Consider the following 23,283-nt stretch of genomic DNA (forward strand, 5'->3'; position numbering starts at 1 on the left):
ATTAAAGCTAAGACATTTAAAAAATATTAATTTATTTAAAAAGAATAACCCATTATATGGTAACAGAAATAATACTTTCGTGGAAAAACAAATTTTCCAAAACAAAAAAGTCTATTAGAGAAGTGGCATTGGTTTTCATTTTGAAGATCTCTTTAATGTCTTGGCTTAATCACAGAGCTGGATTCGTTTATGTGCTTCTGCATTCAGTCTGTCGCACTATTACAGGTCACAGAACGCTGGAAACTGCAGTGTCCACTCCTGAAAGAATGAATGAAAAAGCTAAATAAAGTCTTAATATTGTTATGAAAAATCTTTATGACCTTGTGGACCCCGCGAAAGGGTCTCAGGAACTGCACTAGGGGTTCCCAGACCCCACTTAGAACCATTACTTTATACCATTGTTGTAACTTTGGCCTGCCTTTGAACCCCTTAGCAGTTTTTTGAACTTCTCAAATGACAAAGATTTGTCTTACAGTATAATTATTTGTACACATCTTTATAAATGCCTTAAGAACAAAAACTGTCTCTTAATATTCTGTTATGTATAGAGGTTAGTAAATACTTGATGAGAGGAAAGTCATTCATTCAAAATGGTATTTATTAAGTGCTTATTATTTGCTAGAAATTTTAGAAGATAAAAAACTAACAAATATTCAATTCCTAATCATAAGGGTTTATCCAGGAATGGACTATTATTTGGGGACCTTTACAATAACATATTAAATGCTGTGTTGGGTATGAATGATAATGGATTTTTATCTTTTATTGAGGACATGGTATGTACCACAAAATATACTAAATGTTTACATGCTGCTGCTGCTGCTTCATTCTTCTTTATTCTTCTTATTTTTGCATTATCTTTTTTTTTTCCGAGATGGAGTCTTGCTCTTTCGCCCAGGCTGGAGTGCAGTGGTGTGATCGTGGCTCACTACAACCTCCGCCTCCCAGGTTCAAGCAATTCTCCTGCCTCAGCCTCCTGAGTAGCTGGGATTACAGGCGTGCGCCACTACAGCCCGCTAATTTTTTTGTATTTTTAGTAAAGACGGGGTTTTGCTGTGTTAGCCAGGCTGGTCTTGACCTAAGGTGATCCAGCCGCCTCAGTCTTCCAAAGTACTGGGATTACAGGCATGAGCTACCCTGCCTGGCCACATTATTTTCTTAAACCCTCCTGACAACTCTTGTTTCAGAGTTTGGGATTGAGGCAAAGGATAATAGTGACTTGGGATTATTGCTTGTGCAAAGGAGTAATGATGTGAGGAGGGAATAACTAGCAAGGCCTAGCAGAGAAGTGGCATAATTTTTTTCTGTTCTAGGAAAAACACGTTGGGCTTTTGGATATGCAAAAAAAACAAATACAAAATATTGTTATGCTAGGTACATAAAATTTTGAATTTCTGGACTTACCATAATGTAAAAAATTGTCTTTGGGGGCAGATCTCCAGAGTATTACGGTGCTAACGAGTACTCTGGTTAGGGAAGGTTCTGGGCTTCCTGAAGAAAGCCAGGTATGGAGGACTCCTACATGGCCATGAAGGAGAGAGAAGAAAGTCAGCAAGGCCCTGCCAGGGAAGAAGCGTGGCTGCTGGAATCCAAAAGCAGCGGATACTTGATGTTGGGTGTTGTGTTTTCCTCGCCTGCCTTCAGTCAGTTTTTGTTAAAGGCTACAAAATGGTCTTAGCTTTGTTTGGGGGAACTAAAGGAAATATTTGAGGCCACTTTTCTGTGGAGTCACACAGAGAGAAGGGGACAGTTGCCTAACAAGAGGTGGCAAGCACAAAGGGCATGCAGTTGTGGAATCTGAGAATTTGGGGTGGGAAGTCTGATGAGAGGCAGATGAGTTTCACCTGTCTTTCAAGATGGTAAAGATTAGTTTTGAGGAGGTTGGCTGGGGTGAGAAGGGTTGGAGAATTTGGGAACGTTAAGCTCATCCCTATGGAGATCAGAAGAATTAAACGGACTTTTTTTCAAAAAACAGCACTGGGAGCTTGGGGGCTGGACAGTGAAGCAAGGTCAGCTGGGGATGCTTACTCTATTTAAGACAAAAAAGTTATTGTAAAGTGATTTCATGCTGTTGGGAGAAGATCTGTGATACTAGAAGGTCCTAAAGGTATTTTTTCTCTGGTGCCAAAGACAGGAATTATAGTGTGAGTGTCTAGTCCGTGTGGGTGACAAGTCCCACGAGGCTGTGAAGTGCTTTCTTCAGTCACTGGATCTGCAGCCCTAGAATCTCGAAATGTTGCCCATTCTGTTTCTTTTTCTTCTCTTCACTTTTTTTTCTGACACTTTACATCTTTCCTCAAACTGGGTGAAAATTTAATAATACAAATAAGTAAACCACAAGAAAAGAGCCCGTTCAAACTGTCTACAAGAGATTAGAAATAATTGTAAATGTTTTCATTGCTGATGACTCAGAGTAAATCCTTGTTGATAGCTTAGTTCCCCACAACCATGTACATTTGGGAATGTGCTATAGTCAGACCCGGCCCTGATTCCATTCAAGACTGACCTGGACACCCTTTGCTGTTAGTGTAGATAGACACAGACTCTGAGGGTCTTGCCCAAGCTATGTAAATTCTTTGGTGGCATGGAACATCTGAGCCCTAAGGATGGCAGACCTTCCAGGAGGTTCTAAATGCTGCCTAAAATTCTGTTAAGTAGGGAGCTTAGAAATGGGGCTGTGGAACCTGGACCATGGAAAAACAGTCATTGCATACCTGCTGAGTAGAAGGTGCACTTTTAGCTGCAGAAATCCTGCTTTCATGCAGTTTATTATAGGAATGAGAACGTGTAAAAGGCTCTAACAGAAGGTTTCCTCCCAGCCTGGGAAACATACTGAGACCCTGTTTCTACAAAAAAACAAAAAATTAGCCAGGCATAGTGGCACAGGCCTGTAGTCCCAGCTACTCTGCAGGCTGAGGTGGGATTGCTTGAGCCCAGGAGTTCGAGGCTGCAGTGAGCCTCAACAATTATTATTGAAATTCATTCAGTAATCATTCATTTATGAATAATTAATATGGACAAGACAGAATTTTATTGATTTAGGTATTGTCAACCTCCAGCATGGTCGACAGAGAAGACCTTGTCTCTAAAACAAATAAACTAAAAAAGGTTTCCTTCTCGCCCTCTTGGTCTTATCCTTCAGTCCCATGACTTTACATTTATTTGGGTTGATTACTCCTAATTTCTATTTCCAGCCCATTTCTCTGCTTTGAACTCCTAGATTCACGTATGTAAACACTTGTTTGCCATCTTCTCTTGAATGACTAAGACACGTCTTAAATATAACATGTCCAAAATTTAACACGTCTTCCCTTATAAACCTCTTTCTTTCAGTTTCTGCACCCTCTGGTTGTTCAGTCCAAAAACTTCGAATTCATTCCTGACTCCACTTTTACACACAAATCGTTTTTGTCAGCCCATCCTTCCTGCTGTACCTTCACTATATATATGTAGAATCCAATGTCCACTGCTGGCACGCTGGGCCAAGCCACGTTGTCTCTCAACTAGATTATTCCAGTAGCCACTTAACTTCTCCCTGTTTTGCTTTGCTCCCACCCCAGTCTGTTACCAATATAGCAGTAAGAATTATTCTTTTAAAACATCACATCAGGTCTTATTCCTCCTCTGCTCAAAACTCTCCTATTGTGGCCAGGCGTGGTAGCCTCACACCTGTAATCCCAGCACTTTGGGAGGCCAGGGTGGGAGGATTACTTATGCCTAGGACTTCAAAACCAGCCTGAGCAACATAGATAGACCCCATTAAAAAAAAATGCCAACTCTCCTATTGTTTTTCCATCTCAGAGTAAAAACACCATTAGCTACCAGTTCACTCTTCAACCTGATATCTTCTTGTCTCCATCCCTCTCTACTCTGGTCACATGTGCTTTCTTGCCTTCCTTTGGACACAGTAGTCTTTGTACTTGCTGCCTACTCAGGCTGAGATGGTCTCCACAGGTAACCACATGACTTGTTCACCTCACTGAGCTCTTCTCTGATCATAATATTTAAAATTACCCTCTACATCTGCTCAGTGTTACCTGTCTACTTGCGTTACCTCCACAACACTTAAGACCATTGGTTAGTTGGATACATACACAAAAAGATATCTCTGTGTTTATTTAAATTTATGTCTGTACTTCTCTAGAATGAAAGATCCAGGAAGATACAGAATTTTGTTTTGTTTGCTGCTGTATCCTCAACACCTAGAAAAAACAGTGGCCTATTTTAGGTGATGGAGAAATAGATCAAATTAATGAATAAAGATTCCAAATAGTAAATGTACCAAGAGGAGAAGCAGAAGAACCTAAAAACAGCATTATGGTTTGTCCCCTAAAGGGTGTATAATACATTCTATTTGATTATATATTTTTTTAAAGATAAAAATAGAGATATTTTTAAAAAGTAAAGTACATTTGTTTCAGTCATAAAGCAGTTTTTAAATTAAATCAAAAATTCTAAATTAGGACTTTCAGAAACTACTTCAAAGCACACTCTTACAGGAATGTAACTTAAAAAGGAAAGAAAGAAAAGTTAGGTATGTATAAGCATCATCTTAGCTGAAAGCCAGTGCCCATACGGAAAATCAGTAAAAACAAAAAGAGATACAGAGTCTTCTTTTTCTCCTGTGCCTCTTGTAATGGAAGAGAAATCATCTGTACTTCAATTTGATCTTTGTTCTTTTGGGGGGGAAGGAAAGCCAAGTGTTTTTAATTTTCTCTATATCAATATAGACATTAATTAAAGCATCACTTGGTTGCATTTGATGAGATGGCTTCTTAATTTCATTTATCAGATCCTGGTAAACTTCTGAATCATAAAAATTATATTTAGCATACAGCATCCCTATTTTTACAAATCTCATTCTAATTATTTACAAAATTAGTAATCCTTGTATTGTTTCTAATACAGGTTCTTTCACTTGGGTATTTCAGAAACTAGTAAAATAAAATTTCACAAAATAAGAGCACTAACAGGCAGCTTCACCTTTTTATGTTTTCTGTCATCATAGTCACCATTGTTTCTTAAAAGAAAGAACACTTTAACACCTAAAAATGGAAAAGACAATTTTAGAATAAAAGACAGCTTTATTGTCCTTATTTTTATCATTTTACCTTGGACTGCAGATTGTGCTGCCACTGGTCTACAGTCCAGAATTTGAGACTGGTTGACTTGTGATATGATGATTCACATTTAACAAGAATGGCATATTGAATATAATAAAATTGAACTAGGATGCTTAGAAAAGAATACCTAGTAAATATAGTGATCACAGGAGGCCTTAGAGGACATTTTCAGGTTACCAAAATAATAGTTACTCAAAAAAATGTTTAAGGAAAAGCTAAAATTGTTTCAGAAATAAGCATAGTTAAGAAGTTAGCTTTAATATTCTTTTAATATCCCCATATTCTTATTGCATAATAAGAGCTAACCTTTATTGAATGTCTGTTACTTGCCAAGCACTGTGTTAAGCACTTCTTACATGGATTAGCTATTTAATTCTAACAACCCTATGAGGTAGATAATATTACTAATGAAATTAATTTGATCGTATACATTTTTTCCATATGAAATAATCAACATTATCACTGAATTTTAAATCTTGGGTAACAGTATAAATGCTATGACAGCATCTTCATAAGACTACTCAAAATGAATGAGGATTAATATTTCAAGCAATAAAATAGTTTGCTAACCTTGATTCTGTCACACCCTGGCACTATTATGTTTCACCTCTTGCATCTGTTCAGGCTTTCAGCCTTGACAATTATGATTGAAATTCATTCAGTAATCATTCATTAATGCATAATTAATATGGACAAGACAGAATTTTAGGTATTGAGGGATTTTATGTCTGCGTGTGTGTGTGTATACACACACATATATGTTTAATATGATGGGGTTTCTGTTTTCAAGGAGTTTACTATAATCTAGTTGGATAAGGCAGCTTTTCTTCATGCTCATGAAGAAAAGCTCACCGTTCTAAGGTGAAATTATGTGAGATAAAACATGAAACAAGTCTGCACATGACTGCTTAAGGCCCAAATCCAGGCTGCTACCCGTTTCATATAGCCCATGATCTAAGACTGGTTTTTGTATTTTACGAATTGTAAAACAAAAAACAACAAAGAAGAATGTGTGATAGAGACTCTATGGCCCAGAATATCTAAAATATATCCTTGCTGGCCACTTAGAAAAACAGTTGTCTATAAAATAAGTGCAGTTAGGAGACTGTGTCTATAAAGTGTGTTTGGTGGACTGGTGTGGTCTAGGAGGACCTTGTAGAGAAGCTAGAGTTAATATGGGACTGTAATTCAAATTGGCAGGAAAAGGAGCAGGATCTGCAAAGATGGATGAGGTGTGAATTCTACAGTATATCATGCAGATTATCTAAACACTTTGGTTGGCTGTTGTTGGTTATGTTTCTTTGGGAAAGTTTTTCTGTCGTTGATTGCTCGGTTTTTTCTTGATTCTTTTGTCTCCCCTTGAATGTTTAATACTTGTACTTTCCCCTTCTATAAAATGATTACAATTCATATCATTGTTCCATTCTTCATGGCCTTCTATGATCTGATCTTAACCTGTCTTTCTAATCTGGTATACCACTACTGCACACAATAACATGGAAAAGGAAATTGTATATGTATGTTAAATACTGGTATTTTTAAAAGAATAGTTTTAATAAAAGGACAATAAGACATTCTTTAAAGGAAGGGTTAGCAAACTATTTCCATAGAGGGCCCAATGGTAAATATTTTTGGCTTTGCAGCCAGGTATTCAGCTCTGCAGTTGTATCAGGAGAGCTGCCATAGACATTTGTGAATATGTGAATGAATGAGTGTAGCTGTGCTCCAGTGAAACTTTATTTACAGAAATCAGGTAGCTGAACACATTTGGCCCACAGGCCATGGTCCCTGCAATAGGATATTTCTAGGTACTTAGAAGTACTTTGGTTTTTTTCTTTCTTTTTTTTAAGACCGAGTCTCGATCTGTCGCCCAAGCTGGAGTGCAGTGGCATGATCTCAGCTCACTGCAATCTCCGCCTCCTGGGTTCAAGCGATTCTTGTGCCTCCTGAGTAGCTGGGACTACAGGCGTGCACCACCACACACCGGCTAACTTTTGTATTTTTAGTAGAGATGGGGCTTCACCATGTTGGCCAGGCTGGTCTCAAACTCCTGGCTTGATGAGATCCGCGTGCCTTGGCCTCCCACAGTGCTGGGATTACGGGTGTGAGCCACCGTGCCCAGCCTAAGTACTTTGAATGTCAATAGTACTGGTTCTCTTTCTAAATATACTTTTTAAAAATTATCAAAAGAGCCAGGAGTGGTGGCTCCAGCTCTTTGGGAGGCAGAGGCAGGATTATTGCTTGAGCCCAGGAGTTTGAAACCAGCCTGGGCAACATAGCAAGACAGCATCTCTATTAAAAAAAAATTATCAAAAAATAAATGCACATAAAAAAATCAACAGTACAAAAGGGGTTATAGTGAAAAGTAGATCATCCAGCCATGAGCTCTACTGTCTTACCCTCTGTGAGGCAACTATGGCTACGAGTTTCTTAGATACCTTTTCAGAGTTTACTCTCCATGTATAAGAACACACACAAATGATCTTGGTAATAACAAACGCTGTTCTGTATCTTCCTTTTTTCATATGAATACACACATAGACATACTACCTTGTTAATACAAATAGTAGTGTATTATACACAGTTTTTTATGTTAATTCCTTCATTTCTCAGTATGTCTTAAAGACCTATGCCTTTACCTCAGGCTCAGTTTTTTTAATGAATTAACAGTATTTCATTTGATATACATGCCATAATTTATTTAAACTAGTAATTAAGGATATTTTTAGTATTTTTCAATTGCTAACCTTGTAACACTGATTGTTCTATCCGCTTCATTTGGGGTCATTTTGTATTTCATCATCTTTGAAGAAGGAGTAAGGAAATTTTTCTGGCCTTCCTATTCCCCATTCCTAAATTAAAGGCAAAAAAACCTTTGTCAGTATCAAGGCTCAATTTCTCTCACATCCTGTTTCTGGGTTTCTCATTCTCCTGATTTAATAATCATGGGACACTTGGGGAGGCCGAGGCAGGTGGATCATGAGGTCAGGAGATCGAGACCATCCTGGCTAACAAGGTGAAACCCCGTCTCTACTAAAAATACAAAAAATTAGCCGGGCGCGGTGGCGGGCGCCTGTAGTCCCAGCTACTCGGGAGGCTGAGGCAGGAGAATGGCGTGAACCCGGGAAGCGGAGCTTGCAGTGAGCCGAGATTGCGCCACTGCAGTCCGCAGTCCGGCCTGGGCGACAGAGCGAGACTCCGTCTCAAAAAAAAAAAAAAAAAAAAAAAAAATAATCATGGGAGCTGAGTGGGAGAAGGGAATAAAGAGGAATTCCCCGTGATGAAAGAGGAGGAAAGGATACTCGCATTCATTATGTGAATAGTTTGTCACCACCCACCCACTCACTTGTGATTTATTCCATACAGCACCACCGTGGTCCAGATATATAGCAGGTGTATCATGTGGAAGAAAGCTGTTGACTTGAATTCTTTCTGTTGCTTTCAGTTGCCTAGACCTGGAGCAGTGTTCTCTTAAGGTACTGGAGCCTGAAGGAAGCCCCAGCCTGTGTCTGCTGAAGTTAATGGGTGAAAAAGGTTGCACAGTCACAGAATTGAGTGATTTCCTGCAGGCTATGGAACACACTGAAGTTCTTCAGCTTCTCAGCCCCCCAGGTAGGTTTTGTTCTTAGGATTATTCTCCAGGAGTTCATGGAGCCAAACTTAGAAGAAATTATCTCTTTTGACCAGGTGAACTGTGTTAAGTATTTTTGGAAAATGTAAATGTGTAGTGCCTTGTTTGCTTTCCCAGGTTGAAGCAAATGCAATGCATGAATATTGGTTGGATTGTGGTTGAAGAAACCAGCTACATGAGACATTTTTGAGATAGTTGGAAAAATTTGAATGTAACTACATATTTGATATATTAAGTAATTATCATATGATAATGATACTATAGGAGAATGTCCTTTTTTTAAAAGGAGATGCATTTTAAAGTATTTAGGGAGAAGATTCCTATGACATACATTGGAATAGTGCAGCCAAAAAAATGAACATATATTTATTCCTATGTATTTATATAGATGAAGTAAAGCAAGTATGACAAATGTTTAAGTTTTTTTTTGCCGCAGTGAGGCTTTTGAATGTTGATTAACTCAACCTTGTACTCTTATGAGTTTTTCCTGAATTACCGATATTGGATGAGGCTTTGTACTTCCCACATCAGGCGAGGCTTAGGAAACAGTCCCTCTTCTCCATTCAGCTGCTCTCCTCTCAGCTGCAGATAGAGTTGGTCTACAGCAGTGGTGGAGGGCAGGAGGGACATGCCATTGAAGTTGCCTGGTTGTGGCAGCACTGCAGACCTCCTTCTTTACCTGGGGATCCAGTGGGCCATTATTTGTCCCACAGGAAGCAAAGAGGCTGGTTGAGCTTGGAAAGGCAGGTTGAGCTTGGAAAGACAAAGGACCTGATGCACTCTATTTTACGTGGTTTTGATGTATACCATTTCAATATATAACCAGCTTGGTTATGATATATTTTTAAGTTAACATGAGGAACTTAAAACCATAAATGAGATGTTATTTTTTATTGTTAGTTGTGGGATAGGGAATTAGGAACACATGGTATAGTGGTATGCTGTCAGTTACATGTACCAGAAACCCCAACCCAAATAGGCATAATAAAGAGAATACATTTCTCCTTCTAATTGAAAAGCTTAGAGCAGGTTTGGCTTCAAGAGAATCAAGGAACAATCCTGTTCTCAACGCATTGGTTGGTTTTTGTCTTTGCTCTTCCTTTCTTGGCATTGGCTTCCTTCCATGACTGACTCTCCACATAGCGCAAGACGTCTGCTGGCTTTTTCTGGGCTCCTTCATTCTTGCCCCAGCAAAACCCAGAGGGTTCATCTAGTTAACTAGCTTCGGTCAAATGCCTAGCTCTTAACCTGTCACTGTGCCAAGGAGATGGAATGTGCTGACTCGCCTGGCTTGAAGCCAGGAGTGGAGTTGGGTTGAGTCTGCTTTCCTGGAACCACATGGATCACCAAACAAAATTGAAACTATTAGAAGGAAAAAGGAAGTAGCAGATACTGGGGAGGTAACCAAAAAGTTTACTACAAATGGAAAGGGCCCTGGATTATAAATAAGGAGACTTGGACTCCCAATCATCCCCTGCTTTACAAGGCCCTCTGTAGATGGTAAAATAGGCCTCTGATAAATGCCCTATGAATTTGATACACACTGTATTGGATGCTTGCTTTCTATTTCCCAGCGCCTCTTCCTACCAACAGGGCTGGGGTGGGAATAACTAGCTGCTAATGCCACCCTCCCAAATGCAACTGTTGTTTGGCACCAAACAGTAAACTTTCTTTTTTAAACCTGGCCCATTACTGATAGAAACAGTAGAGTTCCTAAAGTGGTATTTATTAATTTTTATATTGCTGGTGCTTGAAGTAGCACCCAAGAGTTGTGACATTTGAAATCTACTAGTCTAGGTTTCATACTGTTAAAGTCCAAGTTCTCATACCTAGTAAAGTCTCATACCTAGTAAAGTCTACTTTTGCTTACTTTACTAAGTTCTCATACTTTATTGAATACCAGGGCCTCTGAAAGCTTAGGAAACCTTTCTGGGAAGTAAATATAACATGTATTTCATTCTCTTTTTCAATAATTATGCTTAATTACTCTAACCGTTATTTGCCAAGTCTATAATATGAACATAAGTATTCTCTACCTCACAGAGTTATAGGAGCTGCATGAGATAATGTTGTGTTGAATTTCATCTATACAATGACAGGGGCCTCATATCTCTTTTGATTTGTGTTGTGATCACTGGCCTGAGAGCTAGGGTTTCGGAATTTTTAAGTTTCCCATATGTGAAACCGGGCTTGACTGAAATTGAGTCATATATTTACTTAGGTGTAACAATTTGCCTGAATTTTAAAAATAACACAATATTTTATATTTTTATTTTTGACAGGCCAGCAACTAATAAAGTGCCACCCTAATAAACATTAGTAATCTTCCTTTGAAAAATCCATTTTTGCTCTTTGTGTTTTTCTCCAAATAGGATTAGCACTTTTCTATCAGTGTTCCCCAGTGAAGATTATCCTGATGATATTTGGCTTACAGACTTTCTCAAGATTATCTCATAGGGCTTTTTTGCATTTGAGGAGAGAATAGGAAAGGAAAGCAGTTTATTTTTTTCTTTTTGTTTTTAATTTTCTCTTCAGTACATTTGTGAGCTGTAGGGAAATATTATTTGTTTTATTTTGTTTTTTAAATTTTTTGTGATAAAGGGTCTTGCTCTGTCTCCCAGGCTGGAATGCAGTGATATGATCTCGGCTCACTGCAACTTCTGCCTCCGGAGCCTCAAGCAATCCTCCCGCCTCAGCCTCCTGAGTAGCTGGGACTACAAGCACGCACCACCATACCCAGCTAATTTTTGTATTTTTGGTAGATACGGGGTTTTGCCATGTTGCCCAGGCTGGTCTTGAACTCCTGGGCTCTAAGCAGTCCACCTGCCCTGGCCTCCCAAAGTGCTGGGATTACAGGCGGGAGCCACCGCCCTGTTTCTGTGTTACCACTTGTGCACTGTTTCTGTGAAGTTTTATGTCATGTTAGCCGTATAATATCCTTAGGAATTGGTTGTTGCTTGAATGTTAGTTATTGATTTAACAGCAAACATTTTGAGATCTAATAAAGCTCAGTAATTTTAGGAAGAAGTAATTAATTTGTTAGCTTACTATCTGCATCTAATATGCATAATCTAAGATTTACTCTTTTTTTTTTTTTTTTTTTTTTTTGAGATGGAGTTTTGCTCTTCTTGCCCAGGCTGGAGTGCAATGTCATGATTTTGGCTCACCGCAACCTCTGCCTCCCAGGTTCAAGCGATTCTCCTGCCTCAGCCTCCCGAGTATCTGGGATTACAGGCATGTGCCACCACGCCCAGCTAATTTTGTATTTTTAGTAGAGATGGGGTTTCTCCATGTTGATCAGGCTGGTTTTGAACTTCCGACCTCAGGTCATCCACCCACCTCGGCCTCCCAAAGTGCTGGGATTACAGGCGTGAGCCACTGCGCCCAGCCAACTTACTCTATTTATAGATAGTAGAATAAAGAAATATAAGAATTACAGAGAAGAATTTTAATATTTTAATAAAGATATTGAGAATAAAAACTATTTTAATTATATTAAGAAGATAAGCTCTGATAGAATCAACTTAATTGGTGGTTTGCCTCGTGTATTCAATAAAGTTTACTGTATTGCAATGCCCTTGCTGTGCTAGGCATTATGCTAGGTACTGTGAGTTTAGAGATGAATAAAACAATCGTTTCCACCTGCTGATAGGTCATAGTTTAGTAGGGGAGACAAACATATAAAAGATCATATCCAAGACAGTTGTAAAAAATATATATATATAGTAAGTTTATCTGATCTCCAGTTTTCTCTCTTTGCTATATTCTTGAGTCTTAGTGAAAATACAAAATAGAAATATTCTAATGTTTTCTCTCTTTTTTGCATTGGTACTATTTCATAGGAGGACATTACTTCTTATTCCACAGGAAGTCTGATGATTTTCCTCTGTCCTTACAGAGAGAAGCCTGGTTTGGGTTATGCTGTGAACTGGCCTTTGAGGTCTAAATGCAGGGAGATGGGGAAACTTTAGATTTATTTTGATTAAACGAGAAACTATAGTCTTACGTTGCCATATTCTGTTCCAAGTGACGGTGGAACAACAGTCAGAGGTAGCTCTGAAAGGTAACTGTAACTGTCATGTGGAGTTTCTCTGTCTTTTGAGAAACTGACCAAGTTTCTTTTCTGGATTTGTTTTGGTGCCCAGAAATAGCTAGAGCAGTATCCATGCATCTCTAACTAGAGCAGTTTCTGTGATGAGGACCCAGCTTCAGCAGTCACTCAGCATGTAGTCTGAGTGTAAACTCACTCTGGAATTATAATTTTATATATTTTGTGAAGGAGCCTCAGAGGATCGAGGTTTTTACTCTCTGTTGCTTTCTTTCTTGTCGAGCATTTCCACTGCACATGGGTTGGCCAACTTGCCCCTCAGTGTGGTCTTACTTGAATTATATGATAGAGAAATCGCTTCTAGTTTTTATTTGTGGATGGTGTTCATCCCATTTTCCAGCGCTAGTAAATTGTTTCCCTACTTTTATTCCTTTGCTCATCTCAGTGGGAATTGTAGAAGGGGGTTAAATGGATGTGTTGAAAGGGTTTTGAACCAAAGGTCTGTAATGATTTTTTTTTTTAGATCTTATTTAAGTTTCAAAGACTGATTCCAAAGCAACCAATATTGACATCTGTATAGATAGACTTAGATGTGTAGTTCAAGGTGCTTTTGTTTCTTTTGTTGTTGTTGTTGTTTGTTTGCTTTTTGAGTCTCACTCTGTCACCCAGGCTGGAGTGCAGTGGCGCGATCTTGGCTCACTGCAACCTCATCTCCCAGGTTCAAGCGATTCTTCTGCCTCAGTCTCCTGAGTAGCTGGGATTACAGGCACGCGCCACCACACCCAGCTAATTTTTATATTTTTAGTAGCGACGAGGTTTCACCATGTTGGCCAGGCTGGTCTGAAACTCCTGACCTCAGGTAATCCGTCCGCCTCGGCCTCCCAAAGTACTGGGATTGCAGGCATGAGCCACCACACACAGCCTATTTGTTTCTTTTGTTTTAAGTGAAAACATTGTGAGTGTAGAATTATAGGCTTCATCAGTCCTAGTTACATACATCACGAAATGGTTGCCTGGAGAAGTGATGCCCTTAACCTGGAATGGGCAGAGCAGAGGCTGAACGATGGGAGCTGTTTAGAGAGAACTAGCATTGTTGATGTGGATCTCATTAAGATGAATCCCAAGTTGCTTTTCAGCTCCAGTGCTGCAATATTGCCATTTTATTTCACTCTTCATATGAAAGGTGCCTCACTGAGGGTACCTATGAGATGTCTGTGGCAGGGTCATGTGCCATCTTTTCAGTGGCACCTTTTCCATTTGCCTCTACTCCTTTTTTATTTCATACCTTTTTTTCTCAGATCCGTTGTAACATACGCATTGTTATGTTTTGGCTATTTTTATTACTTTATCTCTAAAATAAGTGCAAAGGTTGTTTAATGTTATTCTTTAGTTTCTAAAATACCTTTACTTCACATTTTATCTTCACAATTCTGTGAAGCGACAGAACAGTGCTATTGTGAACATTTAAATTTTAACCAACAAACATTTACATGGAAAATGAGATTTCCAAAAGTGATCATTTGGCCAAAGTCACAATTATTGACAAAGGTAGGATTAAAAACCAGGTCTGCTGACCCTGACCTGAACTCAATACCATTTCCATAATGCTAGGAAATTTCTGAATTAAGAAACTTAGTTCTGTATTATTACCTCAGTTGCCTCTTTGACCCATGGACTTCAATTTTTTTCTTCTTGCCAACTTAAAAAGTGCTCAAAGACTGGATCTTATTTGTAAGGGACTTTTCTTATTTCATGAATATGAGGAAATTGGCAATTATTCCTAAAAGAAAAATATCAAGAAGTGAAAAGAGAAAAAGATGGTATGGATGTGCATGAGGATAAGGAATAAGTAGAGGGAGAGAAAGGGCTGGTGAGCAAGGCCTGAAGGAATGTCTTTCTGGATGTGGAGTGTGGAGGGGAGTCTCAGGCAATGTAACAGAATAAGGGATGTGATGTGGGAAACTAGATTTAGCTATAATCTATACAGATTTCAATTGACATGTAAGAGAAACATATGTGGACATACTTTGTGTAATGCCGTAGGAGGGACACACATGGACCTACTTTGGTTATATACTGGGGGAAATTGTTAGAGGAAGAGGAATGATATTTATTTGGGCACACTGTAGGGCATGTGGGTACTCTTCTGTGATAGCATAGAAGATTGCAGAGTAACTTTGAGGACAAGTTTTAGATGGAAGTTGATAAAAATCTTTTTTTGTTTCATGGCCTCTGAAAGTAGATGGACTTCAGTGTATGGAATAGATCTGTTTTTGGAAAAAGTATTTATTGATAAACTACATCAACATTTAAATGCGTCGTGAGAGAGAATAACTTCAAGGGAAGCTATGTGTCCTTTTGTCAAAAATTATCCTAATTTATCTTTCTTATAATTTCAGCAGGGTTTTAAATTTTTGTTTTATTGCTTAATAGCATGTACTTGTTTATCGGCATATGTGTGTGTAGTTGAAAGCACGATCCTTGGTTCCATCGTACCTAGTCACATTCTCCCAGGCTTACAGGAAATCAAGTAACTTCTCTGACTTCTTTGTAGATGTTATCTGAAAAATATGCTTGTTTACCAGGAAGCTGTGTGTTCACCGTTTAAAATAGAACTTTCATTTGTATGCCTTCGTACAGCCTACGTAGCACTATACCATATTCTTTTTTTACCTTTGTTCAGCACCTTCTCACTAGTGGGTGCTGCATTGGGGTGGCTAAGGGTTGACCATGGGTCCCTGTCGCACAAGGCTTTGTGGGAGGAAGGAAATTTGTGTGGTTAAAACATGGGAGGTATTGCAACTCATTTTCTTGACTATTCACCAGGGGTGGTTTCCAAATCACATTTTGCCTTTCAATTCTCAGTCTTTGAAGCAATAAATTGTATATATATGTTACACACACACACACACACACACACACACGCTTATTAATAAAGTTGTTGGTGCAGGACAGGCTTATAAACTGTTAATTTAGATGTACATTAAAAGCTACTTTGTCTTGGCCAGGCACAGTGGCTCACACGTGTAATCCCAACACTTTGGGAGGCTAATGTAGGAGGATCTCTTGAGGCCAGCAGTTCCAGGCAACATATGAGGCCAACCTGGGCAACATAATGAGGCCCTGTTTCTACAAAAAAAAAAAAAAAAAAAAAAAAAAATACTAATTTTAAAAATCACTTAGTCTTGTGTCCCATACAAAGGAAGGATAACTTTTAGAACCTGGCCATATGATCCCTTTCCAGTAGTCACCTGCTTCTTTGTAAGATACTCTAGAGGAAAAACCCTTTCCATCCTTCTTGTCTCTTATCTCCTTGTATAATGGCAGAGAATATTTGCCATGGTATATTCATGAGCCGTGTCCTGGTGTGGGATTGCTCTTTGTGTGATACACTTTCTCAGTAAGGTAGGCTCACTGTGGCAGAAAGCGGGATTACCGTGGGAGATATATTGAGAATCACCAAGAGGCCGGTCATGGTGGCTCACTCCTATAATCCCAGTGCTTTGGGAAGCTGAGGTGAGGTGGATTGCTTGAGCCCAGGAGCTCAAGACCAGCCTGGGCAACATGGCAAAACCCTGCCTCTACAAAAAATGCAAAAATTAGCCGGGTATGGTGATGCACACCCGTAGACCCAGCTATTGGGGGTGCTGAGGTGGGAGGATGGCTTCAGCCCAGGAGGTTGACACTGCAGTGAGCCCTGATCATGCCACTGCACTCCAGCCTGGGTGACAGAGTGAGACCCTGTCTCAAAAAAACAAAAAGACAGAATCACTGAGAAAGCAAAACATAAGGTTTAAAACCTTTAAAAGGCAAGAAAACCTAGGTTTGCATCCTGGTTCTGCCATTTTACAATGTAAAAAAAAAAAAAAAGTCTCAGAGAGTTTAATTTACCCCAGGTAATTTGGGTGACCTTCTGCAAATTACGTACCTTTTTTTCATTGTAACATAGATGTAATTAGTATCTACCTTGTGTGGTTATTTCAAAGGTTAGTGATAAAAATGCCTGGTGCATGTAAAGCAGTCAGTAACTTGCTGCTGTAGTAATTTCTGTTATTATTATATATATTCAACAAACACGTGTTGAACACCCACTAACACCCACTGCAGTGCCATATGTGGGCACAATTCTAGGTGCTGAATGAACTGGTGACTAAGACCATCAAGGTCCTTGGCCTTGCCCTCATGGAGCTTCTATTTTAATACCTAAGACGGACAGTAAGAAACAGGGATTTTAGAGAGTGAAGGACACTGAACTGGGTGAATGTAATAGATAACTGGGGGGTGGGAGGGTACCTAATTTAGAGACATTTCCCAGAGAAGCTGGTGATATTTTAGTAAGAAACCTGGATGATGAGGAAAGAGCCTGCCATGAAACAGTAGAATAGTGGAAGCCAGTGGGGTGGCGGTTGCGGGGGATGGCAAAGCGGAGCTTGTGGGGAGAACCCAGCAGAGGACTGGTAAGTGGAAAGGCAGAAAAGAGCTTGGCTTATAGAAGGAAGGAGGCCCAGTATGGCTGGAGCTTGGTGAGCCTGGAGAAGAGCGGAGGGGCCAAAGGAGCAGTTCGTGGAGGACTTTGTAGCCATGGTAAGGAATCTGGATTTTTTATTCTAAGTACAGGCACACTTTGTTTTATTATGCTTCACTTTATTGCACTTTGCAGATACTTCACTTTCTGCAAGTTGAAAGCTTGCGGCACCCATGTGTCTAGCAAGTCTGTCAGTGCCATTTTTCCAATAGCATGTGCCTACTTCATATCTCTGTGTCACACCTTGGTAACTCTTACAATATTTCGAACTTTTTCATTATATCTGTCGTGGTGATCTGTGATCGGTGATCTTTGGTGTTACTACTGTGATTGTTGGTGCCTGGTAAGATGGTGGCATCCAGGTGGCGGTCTTAAGACCAGATCAGTATGGTGTTGGTGGTCTTAAGACCAGATCAGTATGGTGTTGGCAGATCAGTATGGTGCCGCTAGGCAGGCACTGACTAGCTCCAGGCAGCTCAACCTTGGGAGCTTCGGGGCCCCGAGAGGTGGAGCCTGTGAGTGGGGCATGCACTCCATGTGGAAGCCAGAGCCTCCTCCCCTGGATGGAGTGTACGAGATCCCTGGACCGGAGCCCATCCCCTCTGTGAGAGAGATGTACTTCACGCCCGGGCTGCCACCGCTGATCTTCCTGCCCTGGGACCCTGGGTAGAAACACCCAAAATTCTGTTCACCCCGTTCACGACCCTGGGACCCTGGCTCGAAGCACCCAAAGTTCTGCTGCTCAAGCTCCATTCACGAGCAGCCACCATACAAAGACCAGGCCTGCTATGTCTTTCACCAGCGTTGCCGCCTTCTCAGGGGTGTCAAGCAGGCCCTCTGGCTTACCGAGGCCAAGTTAATAAAATGCCTTCCTGAGAAAGTACTTGGCCTTGTTGATGATACAAGGAACCACATAGAGAACCAAGATGAGCGTCTTCTGAATTTGATCTCTCATGCCTGTCTCTGGCACTGTACTGAGTACGGCCCCAGGAGAGAGGCCTGCTGTCTGGTCATTGTGGACAGTCTGATAAAGTTGTGTAAGTCTCAGATTCTCAGGCATCCTTCTCTGGCCAGGCAGATTTGTGCCCAAAACTCCACGTTATCCACCACCTGGAATTGTGTCTGTTCTTCAGGGTCATGGTTCTAGTGGAGCCGGCTGAGTGCCAAGGATCCTCTGCCCCCGCCATCTCCTCCAGAGAAGAGGTTGAAGCTACTAAAAATCATGTTCTCGAGGCCTTCTGTCCCCTCTCCCCACTACTGATCTTCAGGAATGCAATGTTTCTGATGTGAAAGATGACACAGGATTCTGGGAGGGCTATCCTTACCCCTATCTCCATATCCTGCACTTCCTGGAGAAAGCCGATTTGCAACCACATAGCCTTCAACCAGATCAGCTGTGGGCCAAGATGATCCTGTTTGCTTTTGGCATTGCCCTGGCTCAGGCCCAGCTCCTCTGTGGCAATGACACCAAGATCTCGGAGCAGCCCGTGGTTGTGCAGAGTACATGCACAGACGGACGTGCATTCCATTTCCTGGTGTTACAGTAGAACACCACAGACCTGGCCTCTTAACAAGTGTGGCAAGAGTTTGGTCTGGGTGGAATCATGCCAGCTACTCTCTCAGCATTTTTGGTGTCTCCCAGTGATAAAAAAGAAGGTGGGACCGGGCCCAGTGGCTCGCACCTGTAATCCCAACACTGGGAGTCTGAGGTGGGTGGATCACGAGGTCAGGAGATCGAGACCATCCTGGCTAACGTGGTGAAACCCCGTCTTTACTAAAAATACAAAAAATTAGCTGGGCGTAGTGGCGGGCGCCTGTAGTCCCAGCTACTCTACTCAGGAGGCTGAGGCAGGAGAATGGCATGAACCCGGGAGGCGGAGCTTGCCGTGAGCCGAGATTGCGCCACTGCACTCCAGCCTGGGTGACAGAGCGAGACTCCGTCTCAAAAAAAAAAAACAACAAAAAATTAGCCAGGCATGGTGGCACGTGCCTGTAATCCCAGCTACTCAGGAGATGGAGGCAGGAGAATTGCTTGAACCTGGGAGATAGAGGTTGCAGTGAGCCAAGATCGCGCCACTGCACTCCAGTCTGGGCGACGGAGCGAGACTCCGTCTCAAAAAAAAAAAAAAAAAAAAAAAAAGAGGGTGGTTGTGGAATGCGTTGGGCTGACTGGTTTCCAGTGGGAGACATCCAGGAAGTTTTTAGCTCTGTATTTACATGGTGCTACGTGAGCCAAGGACCATTCTGAGGCCCGAAACCCACCTTTGCCTTCTCCCACTGAAGAGGGCCTGGGGTCCCCCTGGAGCCTCAGTGCTCATCTAGCCTGGTGGTCTCACTGACAATAAAGAGCCCTTGCATTGCAAAGGAAAAAAAAACTATTATAATTGTTTTGGGGTGCCACAAATTATGCCACTATAAGAAGTTGAGCTTAATTGATAAATGTCATGTGTATTCCAACTGCTCCACCGACTGGCCATTCCTCTCTCTCTCTCTCTCTCTCTCTCTCTCACTCTCTCCCTCCCTCCCTCCCTCCCTCCCTGTCCCTCTTCCTCTCCCACCTCCCCACTCCCTCTTTGGGCCTCCCTATTCCCTGAGACACAACAATATTGAAATTAAGCTGATTAATAACCCTACAATCGTCTCTAAGTGTTCAAGTGAAAGAACAGTGACACACAACAATATTGAAATTAGGCTGATTAATAACCCTACAGTGATCTCTAAGTGTTCAGGTGAAAGGAAGAGTCACATGTCTCTCACTTTAAATCAAAAGCTAGAATTGATTTTACTTAATGAGGAAGGCATATCAAAAGCTGAGATAGGCTGAAAAGCTAGGCCTCTTGTGCCAGTTAACCAAGTTGCGAATGCAGAAGAAAAGTTCTTGAAGGTAATTAAAAATGCTACTTCAGTGAACACACGAATGATAAGAAAGCAAAACAGCCTTATTGCTGAGATGGAGAAAGTTATAGTAGTCTGGATAGATCAAACCAGCCACAGCATGCCCCTAAGCCAAAGCCTAATCCAGAGTGAGGCCCTAACTCGCCTCATTTCTGTGAAGACAGAGAGGTGAGGAAGCTGCGGAAGAAAAGTTGGTTCATGAGGTTTAAGGAAATAAGCTGTCTCTGTAACATAAAAGTGCAAAGTGAAGCAGCAAGTACTAGTGGAGAAGCTGCAGCAAGTCATCCAGAAGATCTAGCTAATGCCAGGCATGGTGGCTCGTAATTGATCATGGTGTCTATAATCCCACCACTCTGGGAGGCCAGGGCAGGAGGATTGCTTGAGCTTAGGAGTTTGATACCAGCCTGGGCAACATGGTGAAACCCCGTCTTTGCAAAAAATACAAAAAATTAGCCAGGCACAGTGGCACCTGCCTGTAGTCCCAGCCACTCGGGAGGCTGAGGTGGGAGAATTGCTTACACCTGGAAGGCGGAGGTTGCAGTGAGCGAGATCATGACACTGCACTCCAGCCTAGGTAACAGAGACAGACCTTGTCTCAAAACAAAAAAGCAATAAAAGATCTAGCTAAGATAATTAAAGAAAATGGCTATAATAAACAGATTTTTCAGTGTAGATGAAACAGCCTTCTATTGGAAGAAGATGTCATCTAGAACTTTGATAGCTAGAGAGAAGTCAGTGCCTGGCTGACTCTTGTTAGGGGCCAATGCAGCTGACAACTTTACGTTGAAGCCAGTGCCCATTTACCATTCTGAAAATCCTAGGGCCCTTAAGAATGATGCTAAGAAACTGCAAAGTTTTTGTCCTGAGTAACCAGATGGATGGTGGTAGGCAGTAAGACTGGTTTACCATCTTTGAGATGGGGAAACTGTGGGGACTGGCAGAGGAGTAGATTTTGTGTCAGAAGGGATTTGGGACATATAAAATTGGTGGTGGCTATAGGACATTCAAATTTAAAGCCAGGATAGCCAAAACTCCTATATTTTTTAGATTTATTACTTGTTCTCTTTTGTCATTGTTGCAACTTTTTCCTGTCACATCGAAACTTGGGAAATCAGAATCTTTGTATTTTAAAGTTGTGATGTAAAACTCTCCTGGCAGATGAATGGTAAATGTGGGGACATTAAAATACAGTGTTATGAATTTGCTGGCTTCAGCAAGAGTGCTTATCCCATTTTCCACCTTTCCTACCAACATGTATCACAGATTTCAGAAAAATTCTGAACTTCATCCGTCCTGTACTAACTTGGCCTCGACATAAAGGATTAATGAATATGAATGTCCTCCCTTGGCAAGAGTTTAAAATTCTGAGAGGCTCTACTATATTTACTAAAGATTTTCTAGGGCTTCTCGAGGCCCTCAAATGTGCTAGGTATACAATAAATATTTACTCATTTTTAATTTTGCTTTTATTTAGTATCTTTGTGCTGTGACTTTCATGAACATTATTTTTTTTCCTAGAAAGTTTAGTACCTTTGATGTATTAAGATTACTGTTATTTACACTGTTTCCTTTTTACTTGTAATCTTGTTTTGTTTCTTTGCATTGGTGGGTGGTAGAAGAAAAAGACACTGTTATGAGGTCACATTCAGTATAGACAAGGAAAGAAAATAAAAGTAGGTGCAGGAAATTAAGTTTTATAAGTTTTAATTATCTTTTTCTTTACTTCCTAAAAGCCAGCTAACCCAGTTTTATTAATTACAACTTTTGCAAATGTAAGCTTTTCTAGCTTTGGTTTCTTTTATGTCAGTTATCTATTGCTGCATTAATAAATTACCCCCAAGTCAGAAGTGAAAAACAACAACTGTTTATTATCTCACACAGTTTCTGAGGCTAGTAGTCCAGAAGTGGCTTAGCTGGGTAGTCCTGGCTGAGGGTCTCTCGTGAGGCAGCAGTCAGACTGTCAGCCAGGTCTGCAGTCATCTGAAGGTTTCCCCAGGGTTGGAGGATCTTCTCAGATGGCTCTCTCACAGGTGTTGTCAAGAGACCTCATTTCCTCACTGGCTGTGGCGGGAGATCTGTTTCTTTCTGTAGAGATATGGTTTGGCTGTATTCCCACCCAAATCTTATCTTGAATTCCCATGTGTTGTGGGAGGGACCTGGTGGGAGGTAATTGAATCATGGGGGCAGGTCTTTCTCTGCTGTTCTTGTGATAGTGAATAAGTCTTATGAGATCTGATGGTTTTATAAAGGGGAGGTTCCCTGCCCGCACCTTCTTCTCGTTTGTCTGCCGCCATGTGAGACATGCCTTTCACCTTCCACCATGATTGTGAGTCCTCCCTAGCCACGTAGAACTGTAAGTCTATTAAACCTCTTTCTTTTGTAAATTGCCCAGTCGTGGGTATGCCTTTATCAGGAGTGTGAAACAGACTAATACTCTTACCACTTGAGCCTCTCTGCAGGGCTACCTGAATGGCCTCCTGCCACAGTCATGTGCTTCCCTGGGGCGAGTGAGTGAGAGAGAGGCAAGAGAAGGAGTTGGGGGTGTTCCATTATTGACTAGGATTTTCTTCCAAATTCCTGTCAAAAGTCTTCCAAGCTTAGATGTTGGCAGTTATTCCTCAAATGAGGAATGTTTGTGTCACAGGTATATCAAATATATATCTCACTGCTCTGTTTCTGTGTCTTTCTCTTCCAAAATCATTTTCATTTCAATACTAAATAATAATGCAGTCATTTGAAGACGTTTTCAATGGTGTTGTCTTTGTCCATTGCATGCTTCCATAATACAGTACCACAGACTGGGTAATTTTTAAAGAACAGACATTTATTTCTCACAGTTTTGGAGCCTGGGAAGTCCGTGATCAAAGAACCAGCTTCTGATGAAGGTTTTCTTGCTGTGTCCTCACATGGCAAAAGAGAGAGAACCTACCTGCAAACCCCGTTATTACAGCGGCATTAATTCATTCGTGAGGGTAGAGCCTCCCGCTAGGCCCTACCTCCCAACATTGTTACATTGGGGATTCAGTTTCCAGCACATGAATTTGGGGGCACATATTCAGAC

General features: G+C 40.9%; 1 protein-coding gene, 1 long non-coding RNA gene and 1 pseudogene across 7 annotated transcripts in view; 2 read left to right on the plus strand and 1 right to left on the minus strand.

Moving 5' to 3' along the window:
* Positions 1-23,283, plus strand: part of MALT1 (MALT1 paracaspase) — an 83,013-nt gene that overhangs the window by 1,137 nt on the left and 58,593 nt on the right. For all 4 annotated transcript variants that reach the window (XR_007066087.1, NM_006785.4, NM_173844.3 and 1 more), the window contains exon 2: positions 8,569-8,735. Coding sequence is in view for 3 of the 4 variants with exons in the window: in NM_006785.4 (NP_006776.1) it covers positions 8,569-8,735 (167 nt within the window). In the remaining variant the exon portion in view is untranslated. The remainder of the gene's footprint in view (positions 1-8,568; positions 8,736-23,283) is intronic.
* LOC105372146 (uncharacterized) overlaps positions 12-23,283 on the minus strand; it is a 107,606-nt gene continuing 84,334 nt past the window's right edge. Inside the window, exons 3-4 of one of the 3 annotated variants that reach the window (XR_935537.3) lie at positions 7,871-7,975; positions 12-258 (exon numbers count right to left, since the gene is read on the minus strand). This is a non-coding gene — a long non-coding RNA (uncharacterized LOC105372146). Of the gene's footprint in view, positions 259-5,008; positions 5,046-7,870; positions 7,976-22,070; positions 22,308-23,283 lie in introns of those variants that run through there. The other 2 variants (XR_935536.4, XR_007066391.1) reach the window with 2 other exon arrangements.
* Positions 17,755-19,001, plus strand: MRPL37P1 (mitochondrial ribosomal protein L37 pseudogene 1; annotated as a pseudogene).

This window comes from Homo sapiens, chromosome 18 (genome assembly GCF_000001405.40).
Source record: "Homo sapiens chromosome 18, GRCh38.p14 Primary Assembly".
NCBI classification, from domain to species: domain Eukaryota; kingdom Metazoa; phylum Chordata; class Mammalia; order Primates; family Hominidae; genus Homo; species Homo sapiens.